At 35.7% G+C, this 22,704-nt stretch overlaps 1 protein-coding gene across 45 annotated transcripts in view; it reads right to left on the reverse strand.

Annotated features, from left to right (window-relative positions):
- Window positions 1–22,704, reverse strand: part of DLG1 (discs large MAGUK scaffold protein 1) — a 256,762-nt gene that overhangs the window by 67,893 nt on the left and 166,165 nt on the right. For all 45 annotated transcript variants that reach the window (NR_158764.1, NR_158765.1, NR_158767.1 and 42 more), the window contains 3 exons: window positions 20,075–20,219; window positions 8,958–9,078; window positions 5,475–5,631 (listed from right to left, as the gene is read on the reverse strand). Coding sequence is in view for 39 of the 45 variants with exons in the window: in NM_001366203.1 (NP_001353132.1) it covers window positions 5,475–5,631; window positions 8,958–9,078; window positions 20,075–20,219 (423 nt within the window). In the remaining 6 variants the exon portion in view is untranslated. The remainder of the gene's footprint in view (window positions 1–5,474; window positions 5,632–8,957; window positions 9,079–20,074; window positions 20,220–22,704) is intronic.

Raw genomic sequence — 22,704 nt, forward strand, 5'->3', positions numbered from 1 at the left:
TAAAATACCTGGTTTAATGTCTTTGTTTAGCATGTTCAATGTCTGACCTTCCCTAGGAACGATATCCATTGATTGCGTTTTTCTCCTGTATATGGGCCATACTTTTCTTTCCGCTTGTCTCAAAATTTTATGACGAAAAATAGGCATTTAAAATAAATATAATACGGCAACTCCAGATAGCAGAACTGTCCTCTTATCTACGCTTGTCATTGCTGTCTGTTAGTGACTTTTCTTAATGTTATAAAGTCCGTATTCTTTGTTGTGTGTGGCCACTGAGGTCTCTGTCTGGTTAGCTTAGTGGTTAATGACTGAATACATATTTCCTTAAATACCTGAAACTTACAAATCTTCCACTCTTTTCCAAGGGCTATATGTGCATTTTGGGGCCCACCTTTAACACTCAGATAAGCAATTAACAACTGCCTTAAATCGCTTGCACAGAGGCTCATGATCAGGTAGAGGTGAGAGTTTAAGGCCTTTTCTAGTCTTTCCTGAGCATGCGCACAGCCCTGAACATGTGTGTGGCCTTCTGGTTCCAAGGATACACGGAGGTTTTCAAAGGCCTTATGGAGAATTCACTCCTCCAATTTTCCTTTTAAGTTTATTGATCGGTCTACTATTTCCTAGTGCTTTTAGGGCATTTCCCTAGAGAAGTTCAGTAAGCATTAAAATTTTAAGGTTACTGATGCATATTGCTAAACATAATGCTGTATTTAACTGCACTCACATTAGGGTGAGCTACTTCCCTGGACTAGCTGAGACTTCCAGTTTTAGAATCAAGACCAAAGGGTTTCCAGACATGGGGCATTCAGTTCTAAAACCATGAATGTTCTGGGTGAACTAGGTTGAGTTGGTTGGTCTCACACACTTTAGCACTGTATCAATGACCTATCTAAAGTGGTTCCAAAGGGACAATTTAAAAACATCTATTACTGAACTCTAGGCTAAACGAAAATTTATTTGGACACAAAGTGTGAAGTGAGGCTCTAAGCTAATTTTATTTCCCTAAATAACTAGGTAATATGTTCAACAATATTAATCTTTTAAGTCCATTCCCTACCACTAAGTTTTCCTTATCATACTGTAACTTAAATAAATTACAGTATATTTTACAATGAAATGTAGAAATTTGAACAGCTCAGCTGAAAGGATTTTGCTAACCATAAAAATCATGAAACCACTACCCCAGACAAGACATGTATCTTTTCCACCGATGTTCAACTGTGCACTTCTATAGTCAGTCCCAATCACTGGCAACCACTTTCTGACTTACAGCACCACAAGTTAGTGTCACCTGCTCTTGATTATCATGTAACTGGAATTATATAGATTGTATTTTTGTTATCTGTTTTGCTCAACATACTTGTTTTGTGTTTCAGTAGTTGTTCCTTTTAATTGCTGAGTAGTATTATATTGTGTAAACATACCACAATTTAGCAATTGTCCTGCTGATGGAAACCTGGGTCATTTCAAGGTCTAGATTATTATGAATAAGGTTGTTAAGAATGTTCTTGTCAAAGTGTTTTTGTTGATGTATGCTTTCATTTGTCCTGGGTAAAACCTGGGTGATAAGATTAGATGTATGTTTAACTTCTTAAAAACCTTCCCAAAAGTTCTTGTAGTGGTATACCATTTACACGTCCACTAGTAGTGAATGAGGGTTGTAGCTGCTCCACATCCTCATCAATGAATGTTGTTATTTTTTTCTTTTGTTGTTCAACTAAGTGGGATATAGTATTTCATTACGACTTCAAGAATACCTATTTTTATCTAGGCATAATCAATCTTCTTTAGTGTATAGTTAAGTTTTGGCAAATGTGAATTTCGTGCAGCCACCCACAATCAAAATATAGAACAATTACATCACTCTTATTCAACTCCCTACAAACCTCTTCATTCACTGCGGTTTGTGCACTTCTCTGATGCCTAATGTTAAGCACCTTTTCATGTGCTTACTGGCCATTCACATATCTTTTGTGCTGTACCTGCTCAAGTCTTTGGTGCATTTTTAATTGGGTTATTCATCTTTTTATTGTTGATTTGTAGGAGATATTTATATATTGTGGATACAAGTAGTATGTCATGTATGTGCTGAGAATATTTTTTACCACTGTGTGGCTTGCCTATTTGGTTTTTTTCTTTCTTTTTTTTTGAGACAGGGTGTTGCTCTGTTGCCCAGGCTGGAGTGCAGTGGTGGGATCAAAGCTCACTCACTGTAGCTTCAAACACCTAAGCTCAAGTGATCCTCCTGCCTTAGCCTCCCAAGTTGCTGGGACTACAAGTGCCCACTACTATGTCTGGCTAATTAAAAAAAAATTTTTTTTTTAAAGATGGGGTCTTGCTATATTGATCAGGCTGGTCTCAAACGCCTGGCCTCAGGCGATCCACCTGCCTCAGCCTCCTGAGTTACTGGGATTATAAGCAAGAGTCACGTCACCCAGCGTATTTGGTTTCTTAATGTCATCTTCTTTATGGTTAGTGTTTTATGCATTTTGTCCAAGGAACTGTTACCTACTCTAGGCCTGTGAACATAGTCTCTGATATTTTCTTCTAGGAAGATTATGGTTCTGAGTTTTATATTTAGATCTATAATCCATCTAGAATTAAATTTTATGTCTGGAGTAAGACTGGTTTAGGTTTATAATTTTATATACAGATATCTAGGTATTATAGCACCATTTGTTAAAAAGATTTTCCCTTCTCTATTGAACTGACTTGGTGGCCCTCTGGTACTATTTAAGAAATTTGTCTAATCCATATTTACTAAGATTTTCTTGTATGTTTTCTTTTAGAAGTTTAGTTCTATGGTCCATTTCAAGTTAATTTTTCTATACAACATGAAGTAAGAAATGAGATTCTTCTTCTTTTCCTTGTGTCTACTTGTTCTATCAATTAAAGAAGAGGGCATTTAAATCTCCAAATGTGACTGTAGATTTGTCCATTTCCTTCCTTAGTTCTGATAATTTATACTTCATGTATTTTGAAAGTATTACTAGGTATGTCTTCTTGATGAAATGACACTTTTATCTTTCTCGCTGCTTTTATAATTATGAAATCTATGTATAATAACATTATTTGTCTTAAATTCTATTTTGTCTCATATTAAGACAGTAGCTTTAGTATGCTATTTGCATAGTGTACCTTTTTTCACTTTTACTTACAACCCATGAACCTTTATATTTAAAGTAAATTTCTGATAAACAGTATATAGTTTGGTCTTGCTTTTTTGAACCAAGCCGACAATTTCTGTATCTTAAAATCGTAGCTTTTAAGATTAGATAAAGAAAATTTAAGCTGCTATAGTTTCAGATTAGATATAGATAAGATATAGTTAAGATACAGTTATAGGTAAGGTATAGATAAGATGTAGTTTCAGATTAGATATAGATAAGAAAATTGAAGCTGCTACAGTTTCAGCTTCTTGGGAGGCTCAGGCAGGAATATCGTTTGAGCCCGTAAGTTTGAGGCTATAATAGTGCTCTATGATTGTGCCTGTGAATAGCCACTGTACTCCAGCCTAGGCAATGCACTGAAGCCCTGTCTCTTAAAAAATAAAAGAAAGAAAAAAGAAAAGAAAATTTATAAACTTGAATTACAAGGAGACAGAGCTGTAAATATGAAATTGGGGTTAACAGACATGAAAAACAGATTCACATCCACTCATAGGAGTTTAGGGACAGAGTACATACAACATGGGAAAGGCAAAATTTGAAAAGACAATGGCTAAGTCTTCAGAATTGATGAGAGAAGTTTTTAGAATTGATGAAAGACATGACTCCTCTGACTCAGTAGGCATAATGAATCCCAAACACAATAAATAATATGCTAGACATCGACAAAGTTTCACATTTTAGTGAAACTGCAGCACATCAAACACAAAGCATCTTACAAGCAGCCAGCAAACCCCCACAAGTCACCTACGAACAAGACAGAGTAGACTTCTTTCGTTAAATAGAAACAACACGCCAGACAACATAAAACAGTATCTTCAAAATACTGAGAGGTAACAGCTATCAACCTGTGTAATTCTAGATTGAACTAACTTTTAAAGTGAAATAAAATAAAGATACTTTCAGATAAAGTCTAGAATATTTACGATTAAGGAACCATTGCTGAAAGCACAAATCAAGGGCTTGCACACTAAGGTGCATTTAGATATCTGAAGGGCATTTTTGCTTTTTACAATGACTAGGGAGTTTTACTAGCATGTAGCATGTATATGAAAGCTTTTAAAAAAGGGAAATTTTCGGCCAGGTGCAGTGGCTCACGCCTGTAGTCCCGGCACTTTGGGAGGCCGAGGTGGGAGGATCACGAGGTCAGGAGATCGAGACCATCCTGGTTAACAAGGTGAAACCCCGTCTCTAAAAATACAAAAAAATTAGCCAGGCGTGGTGGCGGGTGCCTGTAGTCCCAGCTACTAGGGAAGCTGAGGCAGGAGAATGGCATGAACCCGGGAGGCGGAGCTTGCAGTGAGCCAAGATCGCGCCACTGCACTCCATCCAGCCTGGGCAACAGAGCGAGACTCCATCTCAAGGAAAAAAAAAAAAAAAAAAAAAAAGGGAAATTTTCTATGAAGAGCAAGACAGTCCTATACAACAAATAACTGTACAATCCAAATGCTGTTAGTGGTCCACTGAGAAACACAGAAGAGGGAAGATACAAGATGGGACGGTAAACAAAAATTGTATGACCTGTGGATTAACTTTTAATAAACAAAAATAAAAATTACAATTTATGGGTATAAACATGAAACAGAAGTAAAATACTAGAAATGGCATGATTAGAATTAAAGTTTCCCAAAGTCTGTGTGTCACAGTAGAACTATAGGTAAGTTTTAGACAAAAATTGTGTATGGGTAACAACATAAGCACACAAATTGAAAGTAAGAAGAGGAGAAAAGATGACACAAATATCAAGCCAAAAAAAAAAAATCAGCCACATTAATAGCAGACAATATAGATTCTAGGGTAAAACCACTATTATAAATCAAGATGTTCATTACATAATAACAACTATAAAACTATGTGTACCCAATAATACAATTTCAAAAGACATACTAAAAAAACCTAATGCTATGAGGACCAACTGTTGAACCCATGTTTGGGTAGCTTTAAAAAAATCATATTTGGATAGCTTTCAAAACCTCAATAGATCAAGAAGGTAACAGATTAAAGTATAAAGAAGTACACAAGTAACAAACTTGAGTTAATAGACACATAGCAAACTTTCCAGTCAATAAATAGAGAACACATAATTTCTTCAAGCACATTTATAAAAACTGACCCCTTTCTATAAAAGAACACCTATTATATAATATGTTCTCTGACACTACAATTCTACAATTAAGCTGTAAAATGTTAAGAAGATAACCAAGATATCCCCATTACTTTAGGATATAAAAAAACAGAAGACCTTGCTTTAAAAATAGGTCCAGTGAAAATAACAAAAACGTGATCTTGACTAACGTGTCTTACCGATATAATACGATCTCCTTTTCTGAGCTCTCCACTTAGATCAGCAGGTCCTCCGGCTAAGATAAAGGAAATAAATATTCCTTCTCCATCTTCTCCTCCTACAATGTTGAAACCAAGGCCCGTTGAGCCACGATGAAGAACAACTTTTCTAGGTTCCCTAAAAATTAAAAAAAATTGAGTATCTTGGAAATTTTATATAAAACCTGACATTCTATCAGTGAGAACTACCTACTGATAATTTTTATGTTATCAAACTACAAAGAAAGCTAGACAAAATATAAATGGTTTTTCTAAAACTACGAGATAAAGAGATTCTAAGCCTACAAATCAAAGGAAAAAATCTAATTTTATATAAAAGCAAAAAACCTGTGTTATATAAAACAGAAATGAAACCAAAACAGAAAAAAAACGTGGAAATTTAAAAGTATTATAAGAGCTTATCAGGAAATACACATACTCATGAAAAGCTGATGTTGCACACTTTATTGCCTTCAAAGCAATCACTGCCCCTACTTAGAAGTTTAAAAGGCAGGTATCCTTTTGTCTTAGAGAAGGCAGGCCCTTTCTCCAGTCTCAAAGGGATGAACCATAACCAACCTAAACAAGTTATTGCAATCCCATGCCCCTTTGCTGAGGTGAGAGTATAACCCCATTCTAACCTCTGGTAAATGAAGGGAAATTTTATTGTCATTTTCTAGAGACAGACAAACCTTATCAAGGACAAAGCATCTTTGCTACCTTCCTTTCCTCAAAAAAACGAAACAAAATAAACAAAACCCCACACGACTGAATAATACAATCCCTTTACTGGTTTGGACATATTATAATCAGGAAGGTGAAACCAAGAGTATACCGAAGACACCACAGGCCTAAGGTTGCTATACCAACCTTGGAAATGCCCATCTTCAGGCTTTTTATATGAAATAATTAAAACCTATCTGCAGGGGCACAGGTAGGTTTTATCATATTAGTGATGTTTTATTTCCTAAATTAGATGGTGAATTCCGGATTTACTGTTCCCATTATGCTTTAAAATATGTATGAATTAGAATTTTATATTAGGAAATTATACTTGATTAAAAAATACTCAGCTGAAATTCAACAGTATTTCCAGGGGAAAATACACTCTGATTTTCAAATAATGTAAGCACATGAAAAGGTGCTCAACATCATCAGTCACTAGGGAAAGAGATATAAAAATAATGAGATACTTCAGGTCTACTAGGATGGCTATTAAAAAAACCACAAAACAAAAAGTAACAAGTGTTGATGAGGATGTAAAGAAATTGCAACTCACACATTACTGATGAGAATATAAAACGGTGCAGGCACTACGAAAACCAGTTTGGTGGTTCCTCAGAAAGCTAACATAGAATTACCATATGACTCAGCAATTCCACCCTTAGGTATATATCCCAAGTAACTGAAAGCAGTGATTTGGACAGATACTTGCATGCCAGTGTTTATTATAGAATTACTCACAATAACCAAAAGGTGAAAATAACTCAAGTGCCCATCATTAGATGAATAAACAAAATGTGGCATATATGTATAATTGAACAGTATTGTCATAAAAACAAATGAAATTCTGATACATGCTAACAAATGAGTGTATCTTGACAACATAAGTGAAATAGGCCAGTCACAAAAGGACAAATATTATACAGTTCCACTTTTATAAACTATCCAGAATAGGCAAATTCATAGAGACAAAAAGTAGATTAAAGGTTACCAGGGGCTGGGAAGACAGTGGAAGGGAGAATTACTGCTTAATGGTCACAGAGTTTGTCTGAAGTAATGAAAAGGTTTTGGAAATAGTGAAGGGTTCCGAAAATTGTGAATGCAATTAACACTACTGAATTGTACACTTAAAAATAGTTAAAATGTCAAATTTTGTTATATATATTTCGCTACAATTTTTAAAAACTGATGTAATATACCACAAATTGTATACTTTAAACAGGTGAAATTTATGATATGTGAATCATATCTCAATAAAGCTGTTAAAAAATAAACTTTAGAACCAAAATGTAGGTATGTTGTGATTTTTTTTTTTACTTTTTTGATATTGGTAACATCTGAAAGACTGCTTAAAGTCAAATTGTGAAGAACTTATAATGTTGGAAAGATTTTATACTTCATTATTACAAAGTAGTGTGATTATCAAAAGGGAGTGGTTCATACTTAAAAGTCCAATGCAATATTCTAGACAAGAGACTCAAGTGAAGAAGCATGAGGAACAGTAATCAAGGTGCAAATATAACTTATTTTTTAGTTTGTAAAATATGCAAAGAGATTAAAGACTAGATAAGCCATTCACTATTACAGTTTCCCTCTTTACGGCCTTAAATAGGCACTATTAGAAAGTAATAAAAATAAATGGCAATGAAAGGTCACTCTAGAAGCACTGCCTGAAGACTAGCAGCCTTGGATATTCCCATCACAAACAAATAAGAACACTATTCTTTCTGCTAATTTTCATCCCAAACACAATTACTGACAACCTATTAAGTTTCCAACATTGCTAATTCTTTATGAAAGAAAAGAGACAAACACTCCTATCTGTCCTAAAGATCACTGCCTAGAATCAGGAGTCTGATAAGTAAAAAATAATAATAATGCTAACAATAATGTAATCAATAAACGTTAAGAACAGACATTACTTAGTACACATTTTAATGTTGAATCTGTAATATAAAAGACGTGTACAAATTACAAAGCAAACTCTATAGTGTCTTATTACTATATTGAATAATATGAAAAAGATCTACAATGCTTTTTCACCAATTTTTTTCTACCTCATTAGAATTCTTTGGGATTAAAAAGACAGTTAATCTATACATTTCAGTGCAGGTAGTAATTTTAGATGAAAGTAAATTTTGTGTGTCAGAATATCAAGGATATATAGCAAACAAACAAACCCACCCACCAGCCAGGCAAAGGGGATCACGCCTGTAATCTTAGTACCTAGGGAGGCAGATACGGGAGGATAGCTTGAGTCTAGGAGTTGGAGGCTGCAGTGATGTACGTTCATAGCACTGCACTCCAGCCTGGGCAACAGAGTAAGACCCTCCTGCTAAAACCAAACCAAACCACCACTTATTGAATTCTGAACACAAATCAAATAACTGCCATATTTTTATGGTATATATTAGATAAGGAACATATAAAATGTTACTTTAAAATATGCATAAGAATTTTCTTAACTTAGTTTTACTAAGCTAATTCCTAAGGACAATTTACCAAGCCTCAAAGAAAAGCAGTATTAATTTTAAAAAAGGAGTGGTAATTTATTTGTAAAAATAAAACATGTATATTTCAGGCTCTTCAATGAATCCTCCTATGGAAAAAAATTAACCTTTAAGCTCACTAACTGTCAATAAAATTTTTTAGTCCTAAAAATTGTGGCTATCTTACATGGCTGATTAAAATTCAATTTAATAGTTGATTTTATGTAAGAAGGATAAATGTTAACTTCCTTACCTTGTAATTTCATCATCTCCAAGTACTGCTTTAGAAACTGGGGAGTATCTGGCTGGAGATGCTGGTGTCTGGCCCAAGAAGGAAGATGGGCTAACATGGTTATCAACAGGCTGAGAAGAAGCTTCAAAATAAACAAAGTGAAAAATACTTCAAACACGAAACAAGCCAATCAGTATTCCATTTATGAGTGATTAATGTGTAATTTATATGCACTCCTTTATATATCAGAATTTGGTAGAGAAGATTTACTCATCAGCCAAAAAACTGGACATTATGTTGCCCAGGTTAGTCTCAAACTCCTGTCCTGAAGTGATACTCCCACCTCAGCCTCCCAAAGTGTTGGGATTACAGGCATAAGCCACCACACCCAGATTACTTAAAGAATTATATACAGTCCAAATTTGATTGTGAATAATAAAAATCAGAGGCTTTCCAATAAGTGCGAAAAGACTATGTCCTTATACTAGCTCAGATCTGTCAACCTAATTTACATCTATGCTTTTAAATTCACCCATAGAAGAATAAAAACCTGGTAAAAAGCAAAAACGAAAAACAAGCAAAAACTGTCGTCCAGGCGTAGTGGCTCACGCCTGTAACCCTAGCACTTTGGGAGGCCAAGGCAGGCGGATCACCTGAGGTCAGGAGTTCGCGACCAGCCTGGCCAACATGGTGAAATCCCATCTCTACCAAAAAAATACAAAAATTAGCCAGACTTGGTGGTGTGGCCTGTAGTCCCACTTACTCGGGAGGCTGAGGTGGGAGAATTGCTTGAACCTGGGAGGTGGAGGTTGCAGTGAGCCGAGATCGCATCACTGCACTCCAGCCTACGTAGGTGACAGAGTGAGATGCCCTGTCTCGAGAAAGAAAAAAAAAAAAAAAAAAGCAAAAACCAAACGTTGGTTCACTTCAATAGTAATAAATACCACATATAGGTTTTCCATTCTAGCAAAAGCTAATAACAGAAAATTATAGTGATTCCTGACCATGCTTTCTAAAGACACAGGTAGGTAACACATGGCAGCTGTAGCTTACAAAGACATAAGACACTTGAATTATTCCAATCATTACCAAAACACAGAGGAAGCAATATTTAACTTTCTTGAGGCTTCAACTATGATAAAGTTACAAAGCACTTCAAAAGTAGCTGTATTATTTAATTATCAAGCATTAATCTCTTTTTTATTAAATTAGAGCATATCTTCTATGGAGGGAAGCAGCATACTACGCACTGGAGTACAAAAATGCAGGAATTATTAGTTCAAATTACTATAGTGGCCAGATAGGTAACATAAAGGAATAAAGTGAACTGGATGAAAGACAACAGGAAATGACTGAAACGATAGTATTTTAGAGATGCAGTGTATCTATTGATATTACAGGTTTGCAGTATCCAACAGCAATTGTTTCCTATCCAGTTCATATATAAGATGCTCGTTTGTATTTGAGCCAAAGGACTTTCTACCAATGGCTCTTAACTTTGAAAGTCCAAAGTCTTTCCTGGGTGGTCAGTAAGAATATGGGATTTTCAAGTGAATTGGTATGTAGCCCTCAATCAATAGATACCCACGTGAACCTCTACAATCACTAGCCTGTTAAAAATCCAGAGTTTACTGATTTTTGACTCTTAAATTCTTTTGCTGCATTTTCATATTTAGATGAAACAAAAAAAACAACTAGACAAGAAATCCAGTCAAATGCCCAAACCAGAAAATATACATTTTCCCTGACACATCCAGACTATCCCTTTAGTCAATGCATCCTTTCTGGGGCAGTTAATCTCACATGTACCACATACTCTCAGACAACAGAGACTAAAAATTAATGTTCCTATGAAAGAAATGACGGCCTCAAAGAAGGATCAGATAAAACAGTACTATTTCTTATACCCCAAATCTTATGTAAAAAGGTCCCCCAGAGAAGCACAAGAGTGCCTAATTCATTTTTCTTATATATTAAGATGAATGATTCAACACTATAAGATTTTATAGAAAAGCAAGTAGAAGAGCTTGAAGTGAGAATGGGAAAAGACTGGTGTCCAAATCAGAAGTAGCAAGGCCATGCAGCTAAAGAGAATATAAGTTAAAAGCGAGAAAATATATACTGTAAAAAACAGGAACATTTTAATGTCGGCAGAGAAACTGTATTCTCTGTTAGATTCAACAGACTTCTTTTTTTTCCTACTTTTATTCCTGAGTATCATATTTTGACTACCTTATTTTGGTTATAAACATTGTGGCTCTTTATCTTCTATAGTTCATGTATAACTTCTATGATCTTCCCTATTTCTTTTACTATTCTTGCTAAAAATATTTTTCTAACTAGTACAAAAATTGTTTTCCAATTTTGACATCTGCTCACTTGCAAGGCTGCCTCTGTGAGAAACATCCCCTCCATCAATGCTTGACAATCACCACAAAAAAAAAAAAAAAAAAAAATCAAATGTTATCTAGTCCTCTTAGGTAACAAGAGAAAGAAAATCTGAACATTCTTGTGTCTGCTAAGGAAAATGCATTCAGAACTAAAATCCTTCCCAAGAAAACTCCAGGGCCAGACAGATAGATAGCTTCATTGGAAAATTCAACAAAACATCTAGAGATGAAATAACATTCTGAAACATTACAAGACAGAAAAATTTCAGGACACTATCGTTAAGTTCATGCTTGTGAACACAGATGTAAACCTAAACAAAATATAAGCAGTTCAAAATCAATGATATATAATATATATTATAAGGATGTGGGTTTTTTCCCCCCACAAATGAATGGTTTAGCGTTAGAAAATCAATGTAATTTATCACGTTAACAAAATAAAAGAGAAAAATCATCTCCATAAATAATTGGATAAAATTCAATACTTACAGGATAAAAACTCCCCATAAACCAGGAATAAAGATTAACTTTCTTAATACAAAAAGGGTATCTACAGAAGACCTGCTGGTAACACCATATACAATGGTGAAATACTGTGTCCCCCAGTTTGTGAACATGACAGTGATATTTATTATCACCATTTCTGTTCAACACTGAACTGGAGGTCTTACCAATGCATCAGACAAGAAAAAAGAAAATGAACAGTATAAAGATAGGAAAGAAGGAAGTAAAATTCATTGTTCACAGATGACATGGTTATATACGTAGACGATCTGAAAGACCTATAAAACCTAACATTAACAAATTTAGCAAGATTGTTGACTAAGCAATTAATATACAAAACAGATATTTCCTATATATCAGTTAAAATTAGAAACATTTACAAAGTAGTACATTTATAATAGCATGAAAAACATCAAATAGCCAGGACTAAATCTAACATATAAAACCTCTACTATACAACACTGCAGAGAGAATGTAAGAAGGACTTCAATAAAAGAAGAGATATTCATATTAATGGACTGATTAAGAAACTCAATTTAATTCTTCCTAAACCGATCTGTAATGTTTTTGATCCTAAAATTAAAAAGGAAATTCAAAGACCCAACATAATCTTGAACAGTAACAAAATTAAGATTTACTTTACATCAATATTTATTATAAAATTATGATAATTAAGAGACTGCAGGTGGTACAAAGACAAATAGTTCAATGAAACAGAAGAGCCTAGAAATAGGTTCATATATATGTGGTCACTTAAAAGAAAAGCACCAATGCAATTCAGTGGCAGAAATGGTCTTTCAATAAATGATGCTAGATCAATTATATATCTGCATATTAAAAAATCTCTCATTACATGCAAAAATTAGATCAAAATGGATCGGACCTAAATGTGAAAGGCAAAATAATAAAGCTCCTACAAGTCCCTTATGACCTAAGGATAGGAAAAATTTCAACAGGTCACTAAAAGCACTACCTTAATAGAAAAGACTGATAAGGAATTAAAAAATTTTATCCATCAAAAAGTACCATTGTTTTGAGGGAAAACATAAACTCAGTGAAGACATCTGCAACAGATGTAACTGATTAGAGTTATTTCTCAAATACATAAAACTTCCTTTAAATCAATAATAAAACCAATGGAAAAATGTAAAAAGATTTGAACAGACATTGCATTGAACAAGAGTCAAAGCAATAAGCACAGGCAAAAATGCTGAAAATAATTAATCATCAGGAACAACCAGCAATAAATGAATAAATAATAATCATTAAAATCATGAGATAACTTTATACATATACATACTATTCATAATTAAAAAGATGGATAATACCAAGGGTTGGTGAGGATGTAGAAAAACTGGGGTCTTAATTGCCTCCTATACTGTTGAAATTGTTCAGCAGTATCCGCTGGAGACTAAACATATGCCTACCCTGTAACACAGCAACCTCACTCCATGAGAAATGACTGCTTATGTCTGACAAGGATGTGCAAAAACATCCACAGCAGCTACACTCATAAAAGATCAGAACTGTAAGTGACTCAACAGTAAAATGAAAAAAATTGTTGTACACTTATACAATGGAATAATACATAGCAGTTTTAAAAAGCCATGTGACTGATCATTAAGCTAAATTCTTAAAATTGGTACCCTTACTGAATATATGTTTTAATTCAATTAAAAATTAAATAAAGAGGTCAGGTGCAGTGGCTCCTATCTGCAATCCCAACACTTTGGGGGCACTGAGGCAGGATCACTTGAGGTTAGGAGCTTAGGCAACATAGTGAGACCCCATCTCTACAAAACAATTTTAAAAATTAGCTGGGCATGCTATCCTAGACACTTGGAAGGCTGATGTGGGAGGATGGCCTGAGCCCAGGAATTCAAGGCTACAAGGAACTATCATCGTGTCACTCCACTGCAGCCTGAGCAGCTGAGTGAGATCCTGTCTCAGGTAAAAGAATCTTTTTATAGACTTTCCCCATTTCTTTACTGGGTATGTTTTTTTATTTTTCTTACAGAGTCTTGCTTTGTCGCCCAGGCTGGACTACAGTGGCGCGATCTCAGCTCACTGCAAACTCCGCCTCCTGGGTTCAAGCAATTCTCCTGCCTTAGCCTCCCGAGTAGTGGGGACTGCAGGCACTTGCCACCATGCCCGGGTAATTTTTTGTAGTTTTAGTAGAGATGGGGTTTCACTGGGTTAGCCAGGATGGTCTTGATCTGCTGACCTCATGCTCCGCCCGCCTCGGCCTCACAAAGTGCTGGGATTACAGGCGTGAGCCACCGTGCCTGGTCTCTTTTTTAAGAGATGGGTCTCATTATGTTGCCCAGGCTGGAGTGCAGTGGCCAGACACAGGTGCAATAATAGTGCACTATAACCCCCAAACTCCTGGGTTCAAACAACCCTCCTGCCTCAGCCTGCCAAATAATTGGGACCACAGGCACGCACCATTGTGCCTGGCTTTTTTCCTTTTTGATGTGAAGAAGTCTTAACATGGTAGGAAAATCAGCTCTCGGTGATATTAAGCAGAGAAAAGGAGCAGTGTTAGAGAGGTATCTTAAGACTGTAGGACGATCCCTCCTATTTCCTTCAGATAAGGAGTATGTAAACATGTTCGTGTGCTGATGGTAATGATCCAGTAGACAGAGGATTTGATTATGCAAGAGAGAGAAGGGACAGCTGCAAGAACAAGATTCTCTGCAGACAACAAACAATGACATTCAGTATACAAATGGAAGACCTGGTTTTCAACAGGAACAATGACAGTGACTCCCATTAAAACACAAGTGAAAGTCGAGTTTCGGGGTAAAAATATAATTACATAGGTATATCTGAAAGTGGAAAAATAAGGAAATTCTCTTCTGGGTGCTTATATGAAATATGAAGTGAGATCATCATTCATGAATAGTAGATGGCAAGTGAAGGTTTGAGGGGAGAGAAAAATTCTTTAGAGTGGGAGAGTGAATTAGGGAAATGTAGTAGGACTGCAGGCAAGAGTAAGGCACTATCTATGATTTATGGCCATACGTAAAAAGCAGAATTTTGTGCTTTTCTCCATGGTTCTGCTTTTTAGGAACCATAAATGAAATAGCAGAGTTTGCCTGCACCAGTGTTGGGGGATTCTGCTGCGAAGAAGAAGGGGGCAAAGGACTTGAAGATGTGCAATGAAGTGAACATGAGAAACCATGGAATCTAAGCTAATACAAATAGAAAAATTGAGACAAGGGGCAACAAAATAATAATGTCAAATGACTGAAGGTCAAAATGAGATGGAATTGCTAGAATAGAGGTGAATGAACTGAGGGTTGTAGTCACACAATGGGATGATCAAACTGGTATTTTAGAGGTGATGAAAGTTAATAATTATAGATAACAAAATCTAAAGTATTATCTTAGAAGCAAGTAACTGAGTTGAAGTGGAGGGCAGGATAGTCAGAAAGAGATGAAGAAACCAAAAAGTCAGGGTGTTGGATGAATCATTAGTGTGGTTTTTGGACATGACCAGGAATGACAGCATGAGTAACAGTGGCAAAACGACAATGGGCCTTCGCACTAAAGTCTTCAGTGACTACAGCCAGACTGATGAAGAGAACACCAGATCACCACAGCCAGGGATAGAGAGTAAGCTGAATAGCCTGACAGCAGGGTGACTGTGCAGGCTTCAGAAGAACTGACAAGTAAAACTCACTTATGTAAAAAAAATTTAAACACAAGTGCTTTTCAAAAAACACAAACAGATTGTTTATGAATTGCATATGCAGAAGTGTACAACGAAACCCACATCTACAGTTGCCTAAGAAGGGAAGGGACTGGAAGCAAAATATTATGATCAAGTTGAAACTGCAAGGTGAATGTCAGCTTTTTCATAATGCTTTATTAGTTCAATAACAGATGGGGGAAAAAGTAACATAATCAGCTGGGCTCGGTGGCTCATGCCTATAATCCCAGCGCTTTGGGAGGCCGAAGTGGGTGGATCATCTGAGGTCGGGAGTTCGAGACCAGCCTGACCAAACATGGAGAAACCCCGTCTCTACTAAAAATACAAAATTAGCAGGGCGTGGTGGCGCATGCCTGTAATCCCAGCTACTGAGGCAAGAGAATGGCTTGAATCTGGGAGGCAGAGGTTGTGGTGATCCGAGATCACGCCACTGCACTCCAGCCTGGGCAACAAGAGCGAAACTCCATCTTAAAAAAAAAAAACAACATAATCATAATCAGGGCACTAATACTCAATTCGTGGAACAACTGTCACAATGTGCACATGGTTATTAGATAGGCAGCATTTAAAATAAGATACTTGAATTGATGAATAAAATGGCTCATTATTTAAAAAATACACAAAGCCTTTATATAAAGTTTATGTGCTAGAGGAAGTATATGTAAGAATTTCAAATAAGTAGCAAGGTTCTTTTCTTTGACACAAAAGAAGTATAAGACACCATCCCTGTACATCAGACAGGTTAAATACTATTAAGGAAATAATTCAATTATACTTGAGCAATTAATAAATCAATGAGCAGATAATGAAGATACATTACTGGAGGGCAGTATGTAGATTTCAAAATGTCATGTTTTTAACTGATAATGATTAGTAATATAATGAATCTTGACAGTTCTAAAATTGGAAGCACTGTTACTTTAAAAATCACCAATATTTCTAAAATTCTACAATTTAAAAAAGGAGCACTCAAAAGCAGGTTATACCCAGTACGTTTAAGATCTTTATTATTTACGGGTTCTTCAAACATTAACTCAATGCAAAGAACAAATACAGATTTCATTTTTCCACCAATACAAACACATTAAAAAATATACTTAAATCTCTTCTCAGCTTATATATTTAAAAAACTGAATATAAAATGGCCAGGTGCGGTGGCTCACGCCTGTAATCCCAGCACTTTGAGAGGCCGAGGCAGGTGGATCACCTGAGGCCAGGAGTTTGAGACCAGCCTGGCCAACATGGCGAAACCCCGTCTCTACTAAAAATACAAAAGTTAGCCAGTCATGGTGTCGCAAGCCTGTAATCCCTGCTACTAGGGGGGCTGAGGCAGGAGGATCGCTTGAACCTGGGAGGCGGAGGTTGCAGTGAGCTGAGATTGCACCACTGCACTCCAGCCTGGGCAACAGAGCGAGATTCTGTCTCCAAAAAAAAAAAAAAAAAAAAAAAAAAAAAAAAAAATATATATATATATATATATATATATATATATATATATAAAGTAAGAAACCTAAAAATACGTAAGTACTTTAAGAACAATTTAATCAACTGCAACACAACTGAACTGCATACAAATATAAGCACTAGAACCTGAAAGTACAAAGATAAATAGTATCTCTCCTCATGTACCTAAGAGCAAAGAAAATCCCTTTAATTTTAGATATATTGTAAATCAGTGTTTCTCAAAGTGCAGGCCATGAACTAGCAGCACCAGAAACCTCAGAATTACAGACATACCTCAGAGATATTACAGTTCCATACCACAGCAATAAAGCGAATATTGCAATAAAGCCTGTCATTATAAATTTTTTGGTTTCCCAGTGCATGTACAAGTTATGTTTACACTATATTAAGTAAGGAATAGCATTATGTCTAAAAATACAATGTACAGGCCTTAATTTAAAAATACTTTATTGCTAAAAAAAAACCGCTAGCAATCATCTCAGCCTTCAGCAAGTTATAATGTTTTTGCTGGTGGAGCATCTTGCCTTAATAATGATAGCCTTGATACTGAGGGTGGTAGTTGCTGAAGGGTGGGGTGCCTGTGTTAATTTCTTAAAATAAGACAAAAATGCAGTTGGCCATATCCACTGACTCGTTCTTTTACAAAAGATTTCCCTGAAGCATGTGATGCTGGTTTGTTAGCATTTTACCCACAGTAGAACTTCTTTCAAAACTGAAGTGAATTCTCTTAAACCCTACTGCTGCTTTATCAACTAAGTTTATGTAATATCCCAAAATCCTTTGTTGCCGTTTCGATAATGTTCACATCATCTTCACCTACCAGGATTAGATTCCATCTCAAGAAACCACTTTCTTTGATTATCTATAAGAAGCAACTCCTTAGTTGTTAAAGTTTTATCATGAGGTTGCAGCAATTCAGTCACATCTTCAGGCTCCACTTCTAATTCTAGTTCTCTTATTATTTCTACCAATTTGCAGTAACTTCTGCCACTAAAGTTTTGACCTGTTCCAAGTCATCCAAGAGGGCTGGAATCAACATCTTTGAAACTCCTGTTAATGCTGATATTGTGACCTCCTCCCATGAATCATGAATGTCCTTAAAGGCATCTAGACTGGTGAATCCTTTGCAGAAGGTTTTCAATTTACTTTGCCCAGATCCATCAGCGGAATCACTACCTATGACAGCTATAGCTTTATAAAATGTATTTCTTAAATAGTAAGACTTGAAAGTCAAAATTATTCCTTGATCCATGGACTACAGAGTGGATGACAAGTTAGTAAGCATCAAAACAACATCAGTCTCCCTGCACACTGCCATCATAGCTCTTGGGCAGCTAGGTGCATTGTCTCAGAGCACTAATATTTTGAAAGGAGTGTTTTTTTTTTGTTTTTTTCTGAGCAGCAGGTCTCAATAGTTGGCTTAAAATATTCAGTAAACCATGCTGTCAACAGATATGCTGTCATTCAGGCTTTGTTGCTTCAGTTATAGAGCACAGGTTTCATTACAGTTATACAGAACAGGCAGACAGGCTTAGCATAATTCCTTGGATTTTCTGGACTGGTAAATGGGCATTGGCTTCAACTGAAAATCACCAGCTGCATTAGCAACTAACAAGAAAGTCAGCTTGTACTTTGAAGCTTTGAAGTCAGGCACTGACTTATCCTCTCTAGCTGTGAAAGTCCTAAAAGGTGTCTTTTTCCAGTAGAAGGCTGTTTCATCTACATTGAAAAATTGTTGTTTGGTGTAGCCACTTCCATTAAGTATCATAGCCAGATCTTCTGGATAACTTGCTGCAGCTCCTACAGCAGCACTTGCTGCTTTACCTTGCACTTTCATGTTATAGAGATGACTTCTTTCCCTCAACCTCATGAACCAACCCCTGCTAGCCTCACATTTCTCTTCTACAGCTTCCTCACCTCTCTCAGCCTTTTCAGAATTGAAGCACAGTTAGGGTCTTGTTCTGGATTAGGCTTTGGTTTGAAGGAATCTTATGGTTGGTTTGATCTATCTAGACCACTTCAAACTTTGTCCACAACAGCAATCAGATTGTCTTGCTTTCTTATCATTAGTGTGTTCACTGTAACAGTACTTTTAATTTTCTTCAAGAACTTTTCCTTGGCATTCACAACTTGGCTAACTGCAGCAAGAGGTCTAGCTTTCTCCCTTTATTGCCATTGAACATGCCTTCCTCACTAAGTTAAATCTTTTTGACATATAATGAGAAATATGCAACTTTTCACTTGAGCACTCAGAGGTCATTGTAGATTTATTAACTGGCCTAATATCAATATTGTTGTATCTTGGGGAATAGGGAGGCCCGAGGAGAGCGAGGGAGATAGGGGAATGACTAGTCATCAGAGGAGCAGTCAGAACACACACATTTATCTATTAAGCTTGCTGTCTTATATGAGTGTGGTTGTGGCACTCCAAAACAATTAAAATAGTAACATCAAAGACTAGTGATCACATATTACTGTAACAGATATAATAATAATGAAAAAAGTTTGAAATATTGCGAGATTTACCAAAATGTGACACAGAGACATTAAGAGACATGAAGTGAGAACATGTTGCTGAAGAAAAAAGGTGCTGATAAATTTGCTCAATTCAGGATTGCCATAAACCTTCAATTTGTAATAAATGTAGTCTCTGTGAAGTGCAATAAAGCAAAGCCCAATAAAATGAGGTATGCCTGTACTTTGCTTGTTAATAGAATGAACGGCTTGTTCAAGCAAATTTCTGTGCTCAAGTGGAAAACTTAGAACAAAACAATTTCAATATTTGCAAATGTTCTTTAGTGACTGTTACTTACATAAAAGTTTGAAAATCCTTTAAATGTAACTACTACTATAAAATAATAAAGGTGAAAAGGATCCCCCCCTTCTAATTATAAAAATTTTGACTTAAAGTAGATTTTAAAAAATGAGTAGATTAACATGCTTAATTGTTTCTTTAAAAATATTTGCATAATGTTTAAACTTTATTATACTGAGAACATTTCACTAATGGCATCACAACTGAAGAAGTAAGATAAATTTAAGCAAACGTATGCTAACAGACTTACAGTTGGTGATATCAGGTGGTGCATAGCCATCATTCATATACATACTTGTGGGTTTTGCCACTTTCAAATAAACAAAATCAGATGTGTTCTTTAAGGCAGTTACTGCTTCTTCATGAGTAACTTCTTCTAAACATACGTTATTCACCTAAAAAAAGTCCCAAAAGACATTTATGACATATTCACTTGTTCTCTGAGTTTTGGAAACAATTTCACGAAAAGAAAGGGAAAATAAGAGAGTGGTTTAAGGAAAATAAAGGTATGCCGAAAGAAAATACCCATGTTTGATGTCTATGATCTCAGTAAGTTGTTTATCATGACATGTGAAGTCGTTGAATGTTAACAGAATAGCCCATCTTGATTCCAGTCTCCATACCTCCTATTCTCCCAGTCTTGATTTTCTCTCATTCTTAGGCATTTAGGAATGTGTGTGGATGCGTTTTAGACATTTTTATCTTTAAAGAAATGAAAACATACTAAAATTTTTGTTTTTATGTTAGGATTTTTAATGTAAGGTACCTTAGAGACTGTTCCATGTTGGGACACAAATTAATAGAATTACTACATTGTAACAAAACAGCTGCACAGTAGCCCATTGTGTGGCTATATCATAATTTATTAAAGATCATATCTGTTAATATTCCCATATTTAGATTGGAAAACTATTAGAACACAATTGAGCACAAATATTTAAATTGTTCTCCTAAATGGTTTTAGTAAATTTATACTCACTACCACAGAATATGAGAGTGCCCATCTACTTAGACCTTTGCCAACATTAAACATTATCAACTAATTTAAAAAATCTGTAAAATGATGCATCTTTTAATTTATACATCAATTAGTTTTAAATTTCTACTTTCGTAATACTCAAGTTGATTTTTTTTCAATTATTTTTTGGCCATTCACCTATCTTCTGTATAGAAATATAACTGATTTTTAGGTAGTGATGTATCCTGCAACCAATACTAAACTAATTTATTAGTTCTATTAGCAGGTTCCTAGGATAGTCTATATACAATATGATGACATCAGCAAATATAGTTTTATTTCTTCCTTTCTTTTTTTTTTTTTTTTTTTTTTTTTTTGAGACGGAGTCTCGCTCTGTCGCCCAGGCTGGAGTGCAGTGGCGGGATCTCAGCTCACTGCAAGCTCCGCCTCCCGGGTTCACGCCATTCTCCTGCCTCAGCCTCCCAAGTAGCTGGGACTACAGGCGCCCGCCACTACGCCCGGCTAATTTTTTGTATTTTTAGTAGAGACGGGGTTTCACCGTTTTAGCCGGGATGGTCTCGATCTCCTGACCTCGTGATCCGCCCGCCTCGGCCTCCCAAAGTGCTGGGATTACAGGCGTGAGCCACCGCGCCCGGCCTATTTCTTCCTTTCTAATCTGATTTTCTTTTTCTTTTTCTTTTCTTATTGCCCTGGATAGAATCTCAACTATAACACTGATTAGAAGTGGTAGTTTATGTCTTTCTAGCAATCTGTCAATTTCATCTAAGTTACCTCAGGTATTAGCACATAGTTACTCATAATAGTCTCTTGTTTTCCCTCTTTCATGCTTGCTTTCAGAAATTTCAGCCTTCTCTCTTTTTTCTTGGCTGGTCTGAAGGTTTGTCATTTTGTTGATTTTTTTTTCAAAGGACCAACTTTCAGTTTTGTCTGTCTTCTTACATCTTTTCTATTACCTATTTCATTAATTTCTGCTCTAATCTTTATTATTTCCACCCTTCTGTTTGCTTTAGGTTTGGATTGTTCTTCTCTTTGATACATTTTTTTTTTTTGCAAATAAGTAAAACATTATCAATGTTTCCGTTTTAAATTACCATGTATTAACAATATTAACTTTAATATATTTTTCACTTTTTCCTAATTTGTACCTTTATAGTTGACTATTGCAGTTTTTAATATTTTCACAAAAAAATGTAAAGGTCACAGAATAATAATTTCCCTTCACTGATGATTAACATTGCTTTGCAGAGTCTCAGCAGCATGGTCATTTTTATGGCTCCACATTACCATGCAAAGCAAGGACTGCCTGCATTTTGAAATACATATTAAATAGCTGTGGCATACTGCTGAAATACACATTAAATAGCTGTGGCATACTGCTGAAATACACATTAAATAGCTGTGGCATACTGCTGAAATACACATTAAATAGCTGTGGCATACTGCTGAAATACACATTAAATAGCTGTGGCATACTGCTGAAATACACATTAAATAGCTGTGGCATACTGCTGAAATACACATTAAATAGCTGTGGCATACTGCTGAAATACACATTAAATAGCTGTGGCATACTGCTGAAATACACATTAAATAGCTGTGGTATACTGCTGAAATACACATTAAATAGCTGTGGTATACTGCTGAAATACACATTAAATAGCTGTGGTATACTGCTGAAATACACATTAAATAGCTGTGGTATACTGCTGAAATACACATTAAATAGCTGTGGTATACTTCTGAAATACACATTAAATAGCTGTGGTATACTGCTGAAATACATATTAAATAGCTGTGGTATACTGTTTCTTTGGTGGCCTACAATAAGCCATGCATCCTGGTATTCACACCCTTGTAAAAATCTCTTTCTACACTGAATTTTGCTTGTCCACGTAACTAGC

This window comes from Homo sapiens, chromosome 3, assembly GCF_000001405.40.
Source record: "Homo sapiens chromosome 3, GRCh38.p14 Primary Assembly".
Lineage (NCBI taxonomy): Eukaryota > Metazoa > Chordata > Mammalia > Primates > Hominidae > Homo > Homo sapiens.